This window comes from Homo sapiens, chromosome 1 (assembly GCF_000001405.40).
Source record: "Homo sapiens chromosome 1, GRCh38.p14 Primary Assembly".
Taxonomy (NCBI): domain Eukaryota; kingdom Metazoa; phylum Chordata; class Mammalia; order Primates; family Hominidae; genus Homo; species Homo sapiens.
In genome coordinates this window covers 70,679,972-70,690,205 of record NC_000001.11, presented here as the reverse complement: position 1 = coordinate 70,690,205, position 10,234 = coordinate 70,679,972, and the positions used below count along the sequence as shown (strand labels likewise).

General features: G+C 38.0%; 2 annotated features.

Annotated features, from left to right (window-relative positions):
* Positions 4,499-4,558: an enhancer, noted in NCBI's record as "active region_1197". NCBI's record gives its function as "activates an Ori minimal core promoter by ATAC-STARR-seq in GM12878 lymphoblastoid cells {active_cell/tissue: GM12878}" and the evidence as "EXISTENCE:reporter gene assay evidence [ECO:0000049][PMID:35858748]".
* Positions 4,759-4,808: a silencer, noted in NCBI's record as "silent region_990". NCBI's record gives its function as "represses an Ori minimal core promoter by ATAC-STARR-seq in GM12878 lymphoblastoid cells {active_cell/tissue: GM12878}" and the evidence as "EXISTENCE:reporter gene assay evidence [ECO:0000049][PMID:35858748]".

Sequence of the window (10,234 nt, the reverse complement as noted above, 5' to 3'; positions counted from 1 at the left end):
TATAATTGACTCACAGTTCCACATGGCTAAGGAAGCCTCACAATCATGGTGGAAGGCAAAGAGGAGCAAAGTCCTGTCTTACGTGGTGGCAGGCAAGAGAGACTGCTTTTTGTTTCAGCTATTCTTCTATAGAGACCTAGCACATAGGGTAATTGTCTTTATAAACCAAGTCATCTATAATTAGAATTATATATCTTAGAAATTCCAAATCCAGGCATTTAAGTTACCTGTTATCATTAAATCTGCCAAAGGCAGAGGGGTGATTAGTTTCAAAAGGCCAACAAAGAAGGAAAGAAATTAATGTCTGTTGCTTGCCTACTTTGTATCAGTCACTAGCTGGGCAATAGCATACGTTTGTGTGGTGCGTGTTTGTGTGTGTGTGCATATCCTTATAACAGTTCCATGAGAGGGGCAATATTTTCTCCATTCCCACAGGTGAGATAATTTGACAAAGATACCATAGCTAGTAAATGAAAAAAGATTATAGGCAGCTCCGTCTAATTCTAAAGCCTGTCATCCCTTCTTGTTGTGCTGTTTTCACCTAAGATTTATGGGAAGAAACTTTTGAGTGGCAAATAGGTACATGACAAACTCTGTCAATAACCTTAAGCTGAATCTTTGATTTCATGTCTCATGAACTCAGAAGAATCCATAGTAGTACATGACATGGGTGGATCTGTGTCTTCCCTAAGCCCACTGCTCAGCTGCCAACTTCCCTGAAACTTACAGAACTTAATAACCATATAGAGTTTAGACAAGGAGACTTCACTATAGATTATATTCTCTTATGAGCACAGGATCCACAGTCATCTTTTTTTAATGTTATAAAGTAGATTCTGTAGCTTCTCCATTCAAAACTTCCAGGGGCTTCTTGGGTAAAAGCTGTGGCCCCTTCAGTGTTATCCAAGGTCCTATGTCATATGTGAATTCCCCAAACCAGGCTCCTATCATTCTACTCCTTGCTCACATTTATCTAGCCAAACTGCTCTTACCATGCACAATCCCACCTCTTGTTTTTTCTCTGCCTGGAATGTTCTTCCCCCAAACAATCACATGGCTCACTCTATTTCTTTCTTCAGGTATTACTCAAGTATCATCTTCTTGGGAGGGCCTCTTTGACCACTCTAGCCTGGCCATGTCCAGCATCCCTCCATGTATCCATACCCAGCACTTCACCACACACCCAGCACTTCCTATTCTCCTTCTTTGCTTTATGTTACATAAACATGCCATATATTTTATGTATTTATATTGATTAGTATCTGTTCCAACTACCCTCACATTAGAAAGTGAGATTCACAAGGACAGGGATTGTGTGCATTTTGTTAACTGCTATGTAGGCAATGTCTGTACCAGTACTTCTCTATACAGTTTATGTTTAATAAATATTGATTTAGTAAATCAACAAATTTGAAAATTGAGGATTCAGCACTTTTACACCTTCTAAGTAGTAAAATAAACAATTTTGTTCTAGGTAGTCCAGTTAAAAAAGTTCGGATAGCACCTACTGAATTTTCACTTAGAAAACATAACATGTTGAACAGAAAGTAATTTTTAACTCTTAAGAAAGCCTTTAAAATTTTACAACAAAGATTCTGCACCATCACCCTTCCAGGAAAGGTGCATCAGACATAATGTTATTCATATTTAATTCTTTACCACTTTCTTTCTGAACCCTTGAGATTTCAACCTCTGAGCCAAGATTCCCTGATTGTTGGCCTATTACTAAGTGCAGAAGCGAGAATTTCCCAGACATTCTTAAACAAAATCCAATTTGACAAGATGACAACAGCTATGTGAATATTAGAATCTTCAATTGCTATAATGACACAGAAATTAGGCCTAGAAATCTCTAAAGTTATCAGAGTGTGATTTGTTTGAAATAGGTCAAAATACATTTTTTAAACATACTAATGCAGTTCAATATGTCCATATGTGTGTGTGTGTTTCTTAAACCTTTATACCATTGTCTCTTCTACTTTTTCTTAAAATATGTTTTTATTTAATTCCACTTAATGGGGTCCTTACATCAAAAACTTCAAAATGAGAAGTCGTTGGGAGGCGGAGGTGGGAGGATTGCTTGAGCTCAGGAGCTTGAGACCAGCCAGGGCAATATAGAGAAACCTCATCTCTACAAAATTAAAATTAAAAAATAAAATGGGAAGAGTTGCTTTGATTTTGCACCCAGCTTCCTGGTGTTCCGGTACACTCCTGCAGAAAAAAAAAAAAAAAGAAAAGAAAAGAAAAGAGGATGTGAGCCAATCTCTGAAGCCTGCATGGTGTTACAGAATGAAGAGAAGGTTCACAATCCTGAGGCTTCTCCTTGATGAGGAAGAAAAAGAAGTAAGTCTGGCACTCAATGTCCCATCGTTTCATCACACTGCCCTAGAGAAAAAGGTGGGAGTTTTACTGTGTCCCAAATAGCTTTGTGGGATTGCAAAAAAACACACAATCCTCAGACTTCTCTCCCAGGAAAGAAAAAGAAGAATGGAGTATGCACACCCAAAGAAAATGTTTGAGAGGCTCCCAGAATCTCTAGCAAGTCTGACTGGTGAAGACTGCTGAAGACGGAAGAGGCATATGCTTTCTCAAAGGCAGAAACACCAATGCAGAGCTACAATTCCTTGAAGAATTGGGAAAATATAAATATAATAGGAATAAAACAATTCCCTAGATTTGATTTTAAAGGAAGAGAAAAGAACAACACTATCCTACTAGTTCTTCACCTTATATCTCTGAATTTAAAAATGTAAGAATACAGGAGAATCTCAGAGTCTAACTCTTATTTAGCCCCAAATCCAACAAGAATGACTCTTGAACTACACAAAAGCATTGTAAGTCTTCAAATGGAAGAATGTACAAGCTACCATCCTTGCTTACAAAGACACCATTTCTGAGGGAGAATAAAGTGAAGGAATAACTACAGATGAAAGTTCTATTATAAAAAATAGAATACTTTGTCTAATGAAGAACATTTACCTGTTTCTATCTCTTTCTAAAATTAATCACTGCCAGTCATAGAGTCAGTCACACCATAATACCAATTTCAGTTTCAGACATTGAGGCAATTTTCCTGCTTTTCTATTTCCTGGTGTGTAGTAGATACACAATCTTCTTTGTTTTCTTCCCCTTCAATCCCATGTGAGAGTTGATCCAAGTCACTGTATATACTGGGCTGCATTCATCCAATTACAGGCCTTTATATTCCTCGAAAGAGATGTGAAACAAGAGTTTTGTCCTAATTTCCAGTGCCTACCTAATATGGAAGGAGTGTATACAAAAGAAAGCCTTTTTGAGCATGGAAGAGAATAGCATTGATTATATATTTCGAGGTCAAGATCATCTAAGTAAATTTTAAAAGGCAGCAGCTCTCAGACCCAGGGAAGGGCTAAGTGAGAGACCCATGGGGCTCCACATTCTCTCCACGGCCGCTACAGGAGAGCCCATCGACCCTCCTGCCTCCAGACTGGCATAGAAAGCTGCCTGGAGATTGTGCAGAGGCATTGCTCAAACTCACGTGGTGGAGCCCACGGGCTTCTGAGTACTGGGTAGCTGCAGCACAGCGCCATTGTAGGAGCCCATTCCCCAAGGCTCAGTATGTGTACTAGGGCTGCTATTGCCCCTGCTGGCTGCTGGGCCAGGGAGTGAGAAGAGATGCTGGGCACTCTCACATGCACCAAGGACAAATACTCCTGCCACTGCTGTGAACCCACACAATCAACACCTGCCTGCCTTCCACAAAGCTGCTTGCCTGGCTGTTCTGTAGAAAGGGGCCTGCCTTTCCTGGTGGCAAGGCTGCAGCAACCACCATTGCCAGGACTGCGTATTCTGCTGGAAATCTGGGACCAGCTGGCCCTTCCCTATCTCAGCCAGCACCTGAATCCAGGAGGCCTGAGGACGAGTTCACTGGCCTGATTACATCCCCCCACTCCAGGACTCAAGCTGTCCAGGGGCCAAGGGATGATATTGTCAATCTAATCTTGAGTGGAGGAGGAGATCCCACCATCAGAATTAAGAAGAGAGTGTGGCATGTGTTCATGCCGCGGTGCAGGAGCTGGGCACCTCATCCTATGTGAGACTGATCCAGGAAGGGTGTGCCATGGGGTGCATCTTCTGTCTTGGGCAGGGAACCTCAGGGCCTGGGGAAGCTTTGCAATCTGAACGGCAGACTGCTTGGGACAGGACTGGCTGTCGCGGCCTGCTGCCAGTGGCCAAATGCTAGTGGGAGAACTGCTGGATTAGGCTGTGAGAGCTGGATGGGTGCTACCACCCACTAGTGAGCTGTGGAATCCCAGCTGTCCCTTTCCCCCCAAATCCCCCCTCTCCTCAGCAGGTGCTTTCGCGTGGTAGAGGTGCCTCCACCAGCCTGAAAAATTGTCCCAGTTGCAAGACAGCTGCCACCTAACCCCTGTTGGAGCCAGCACTTGTGCCTGTCACAGGGAGCCTGGACACGGGCTTGCCCAACACAGCCCCATCTGGCTTTGCTCCTCCCATCTGCCTAGTGGTAGAACACCGGACAGACAGCCCACCCATTGCCTGAGACATCCGAATACTTCTCCTGGTTTGAACAAAGGCCAAACATAAATCCTATTGCCACCGCCATAGCTGCTTCTCTCCTGTAAGTGCCACCTACAACCCCAGAGGTCAACCTGCAGAGCCCATTACAACATCTGCTGGCACAATTACAAGTGCTCAGCCAGCTTTTACCCCCAAGCACCACCTACTGGCCTAGAGGTTGAACTGCATGACCCAATACAATAAGTGCTGACAGAAGTGCATGGCACTGGGGAACGAAGTAAGCCTACAAAGACCTCTGCCTCGTTGTCTCTGCAGGAGGCAGTGAGCCTGCTCACATGCCCAGTACACCACTACTACAACCAGAATCTTGGAAAACCACCACACTAAGGCTATCTATAACTAAGGAATTCAAACAGATCCTTGGCCCCATGAAAGCACCCAGAAGCAAAGCCAAATGACCCTACTCAATATACATTACAATCACACTCTCAAGGGGGAAAAAAGTCCCATCCAAATGAAAGTAAATTCAAAAGTAAGAAATGAAAGATTCCACAAATGAGAAAGAACCAGTGTAAGAATTCTGGCAATATGAAAACACAGGGTGTTACAACAACCCCTACAGATCACACTAGCTCTATAGCAATGGATCCTAATCAAATGAATATTCTGAAATGCCAAATACAGAATTTAAAATATGAATTATAAGGATGCTCAATGAGATCCAAAAAAAAGTTGGAAACCAACACAAAGAAACCAGAAAAACAATTCAGGATATGAATAAAAATTTACTAAAGAGATACATATTTTTTAATAACAGAACTTCTAAAAGTGAAAAATTTATTGAAGGAATTACAAGATATAGTTGAAAGTTTAACAAAAGACCAGATCAAGCAGAATAAAAAACTTCGGAGCTTGAAAACAGGTCTCTCAAATTAACCCAGTCAAACAAAAATGAAAAAGAATTTTAAACAATAAAAAAAACCTTCAAGAAATATGAGGTTATGCAAAGCATACAAACCTATGAGTCACAAGTATTCCTGAGGGAAAAGAGAAAAACCTGAAAAACCTATTTGAGGAAATAATTGAAAACTTTTTTGGTTTTGCTAGAGATTTAGATATCCAGATACAAGAAACTCGGAGAGCTCCTGGGAGATACATTAGTTCTTTGAATAGATAAACAAAATCAATAGACTGCTAGCTAGATTAGCCAAGAAAAAAAGAGAAAATATTTAAATAAGCACAATCAGAAATGATAAAGGAAACATTACAACTCATACCAAGAAATACAAAAGATCATCAGAGACTACTATGAGTATCTCAATGCACACAAACTAGAAAACCTAGAGGAAATAGATAAATTCCTGGAAACATAAAACCTCTCAAGACTGAACCAAAAAGAAATATTAATAGATATCCTGAAATAATCAATAATGAGTAGTGAGATTGAATTGATAATAAAAAATATCCCAATGAAAAGAAGCCTAAAACAGACAGATTCACAGTTAAATTCTACCAGATGTACAAAGACTAACAGGTGCCATTCCTACTAAAACTCTTTCAAAAAATCAAGGAGGAAGGAATCCTCCTTAACTCATACTATAAAGCCAGTATCACCCTGATACCAAAACCAGGCAAGGACACACACAAAAAAAGAAAATTACAGGCCAATATGCCTGATGAACATAGATGTAAAAGTTCTCAACAAAATACTAGCAAATCTAACCCAACAGCAAATTAAAAAGATAATATGCCATGATCAAACGAGTTTTATTCCAGGGATACAAGTATGGTTCAACATATGCAAATCAAAAATGTGATTCACCACATAAACAGAATTAAAAACAAAAACCATTTGATCATCTTAATAGATTAAGAAAAGTATTTGGTAAAATTTTTCATTTCTTTATGATTAAAACTCAACAAACTAGGCATAGAAGGACCATACCTCAACATAATAAACGCCATATATGACAAACCCACAGCCAACATAATACCAAATGGGGAAGAGTTGAAAGTGTTCTCCATGAAAACTGAAAGAAGATGAGGATGTTTGCTTTCATCACTCTTGTTCAACATTGTACTGAGAGTCCTATCTAAAGCAATCAGACAGGAGAAAAAAAAAGTATCCAAATCAGAAAAGAAGAGGTTGAATTATCCCTGTTTGCTGATGACATGATCTTTTACCTAGAAAACTCTAAAAACTATTCCGAAATACTTCTAGATTTGAGAAATGACTTCTGTAAAGTTTCAGGATACAAAACCAATGTGTAAAAACCAGTAGCATTTCTATATACCAAAAATAATCAAGCTGAGAACTAAATCAAGAACTCAATCCCATTTACAATAGCTACAAAAAATAAACTAGCTAGAAATATATTTAACCAAGAAGAAAGATCTTTACAAGGAGAACTACAAAACACTGATGAAAGAAATTGTAAATGACACAAACAAATGGAAAAACATTCCATGCTCATGGATTGAAAGAATCAATATTGTTAAAAGGACCATAATGCCCAAAGTAATCTACGGATTCAGTACAATTCCTATGAAATTACCAATGTCATTTTTTTCAGAATTAGAAAAAAAAATCCTAAAATTCACATGGAACCAAAAGAGTCCAAATAGCCAAAGAAATCCAAAGCAAAAGGAGCAAAGCTTGAGGCATCACATTACGTGACTTCAAATTATACAAGGCTATACTAAGCAAAACAGCATGGCACTGGTATTAAAATAGACACATAGATCAATGGAACAGAATAGAGAAACCAGAAAAAAAGCCACATACCTACAAGCAACTTATCGTCAACAAAGTTGTCAAAAATGTACACTGGGGAAAGAATACCCTTTTTAATAAACGGGGCTGAGAAAATTGGATTGCCATAGGTAGAAGAATAAAACTGAATCCCAGCACTTTGGAAGGCCGAGGCGGGTGGATCACGAGGTGAGGAGATAGAGAACATCCTGGCTAACATGGTGAAACCCCATCTCTACTAAAATTACAAAAAATTAGCCAGGTGTGGTGGCTGGTGCCTGTAATCCCAGCTACTCAGGAGGCTGAGGCAGGAGAATGGTGTGAACCCGGGAGGCAGAACTTGCAGTGAGCCAAGATCGCGCCACTGCATGAGCGAGACTCCGTCTCAAAAAATAAGTAAATAAATAAATAAATAAAACTGGACCCTTATCTCACACCACATACAAAAACCAACTCAAGGTAGATTACACGCTTAAATTTATGACCTAAAACTATAAAAATTCTAGAAGAAACTTCTTCTGGATGAAGGTCTAGGCAAAGAATTTATGACTAAGACCTCAAAAGCAAATGCAACAAAAACAAAAACAGAGAAATTTGATTTAATTAAACTAAAAAGCTCTGCACAGCAAAGAAGCAACCAATAGAGGAAACAGACTACCCAAAGAATGGGAGAAAATATCTGCAAACTACGCATCCAACAAAGAGCCTATATCCAAAATCTACAAAGAGCTCAAACAACTAAACGAGAGGAAAATAAAAATGTAACTTTGCTCCCCTCTCTATGTGAAAAGAAAAAAAGAAAAAAACAAGCCCAGGAAAAAGGACATAAATGAACATTTTTCAAAAGAAGACATACAAATGGCCAATAAACATTAAAAAAAATTAACATCCCTAATCATCAGAGGAATGCAAATTAGAACCACAATGAGATACCATTTTACATCAGTCAGAATGGCTATTATTAAAAATTAAAAAACAACAGTTGTTGGTGAGGATACAGAAAAAAGGAAAAACTTAAATACTGTTGGTCAAAATGTAAATTAGTACAATCTTTATGGAAAACAGTATGAAGATTTCGCAAAGAACTAAAAATAGAACTACCATTTTATTCAGCAATCCCACTTCTAAAAATCTACTCAAAGGAAAAGAAATCATCGTATTAAAAAAGACCCATGCACTTGTATGCTTATTGCAGCACTATTCCCAATAGCAAAGTCAAGGAATTAACCTCAGTGGCCATCAATAGATGGTTGGATAAACAAAATACGGTATATATGCACCATGGAATACTACACAGTCATAAAAAAGAATGAAATCATGTCTTTTGCAGCAACATGGATGGAACTGGAGGCCATTATCTTAAGTGAAATAACTCAGAAACGGAAAGTCAAATACCATATGTTCTCACTTGCAAGTGGAAACTAAACAACTTTTACACGTGGAAAAACAGAGTGGCATTATAGACATTGGAAACCAAAATGTGAGAAGTTGGGAGGGGAGTGAGGGGCGAGAAATTACCCATTGGGTACAATGTATATCATTCAGGTGATGGTTGCACTAAGAGCCCAGACTTCACCACTACACAATAAGTCTACATTTTTTTAAAAAGTACTTTTACTCCCTAAATCTATTTTTTTTTAATTTAGAGAGGTAAACTTTCTTACTCAAAAGACAAGTATCTCTGTAGCCTAGACATTGTGCTGTTCACCTTCATCACCTGGCAGTGTACATCTTGAAGAACGTTACTCTGCAATGGTAATATCAATGGAGACATGTTTTTCTTGATGAACATTTTCTTCATCTGTCCATTTATGCAAATCAGTTTTCATCACCTAAATAGTTTTTGTTTTCTTCTGAATTGCTGTAGATTTTCTGATAATTTTCTGTTGCTATTTGCCTAGATTGAAGATGATCAGAATCATTTTCATATTGAAAATGATCAGAGTCATAAAAAGAAGAACTATTCTCTTTTCTTAAGACAGAATAATTCTACATATACAGAGAAATATACTGGGGATCCTTGCGGGAATACTGAATTGCCATACAGTAGCCAATTTATTGCTAATATATGGCCTTACAATCTATTTTTACTGTGTCTCAAAATTTTCATCACCTCAATGTCTTCATTTCTATTTATTTTCTGAGATGTATTGGCTTTTATTTTTACAAAAGGGATTTATTTTTGCCTCATTTACAGTCACATAGTGTTTTCAGTGCCTCAACATTAATTTGTAGCCCTAAAGCAAATATGGTGTTGGGAGGGGATTGTTGTGTAAAGGTGGAAAATTCATTATCAATCTTAGATATATTTCTATATGCATGACTCTGATAACCACAAAATATTAGGTAAGTAGGTAACTGGATTTGAACCAGCATGAGAATATAAAATAATTTAAATAGATGTCAGAGAAATCCAATCCTATGATAAAATATTTTCATCAAGAATGTAAATCACAAGAAGTTTGTGGACCAAGCAATAAATGTTTCCAGGCAGAAAAGCAGTCTCTTGGGCAATTAGAACTTTATTCTCTTTAGAGAACTTAGCTTAGTGTGGCCAAGCGATATTTGCCAATGTCCTGAATATTTTCTTCCTCATCCTTGATTGTAATGACTCATTTTCTTTAGCTCCATTTCCCGTACACATGACAAATTTACTTTTGCACATAAAATTCCATAAAAAGATGCCTAAGTGCAAGTTAAAATAAATGGCATTTGCCTCATCTTGCCCCAACAAGTAAGATAATTTACTACTAATTATGCTGAACTGGTCAGATTTTTATACTGTAGGTTTTATGGGTATTTAAAGCTTATTTGAATTCTAATTAATAATGTGATCAAGTTAACAAGTGTAGCATTCTAATATTTTCTTACATAAAATATTGAAGCACACTAATTTTTAAAGCACTTTTTTCATTCCCATATTTTTAAATCCTTAGGAAAGTTTCGGTGTTCATGATTCATGTA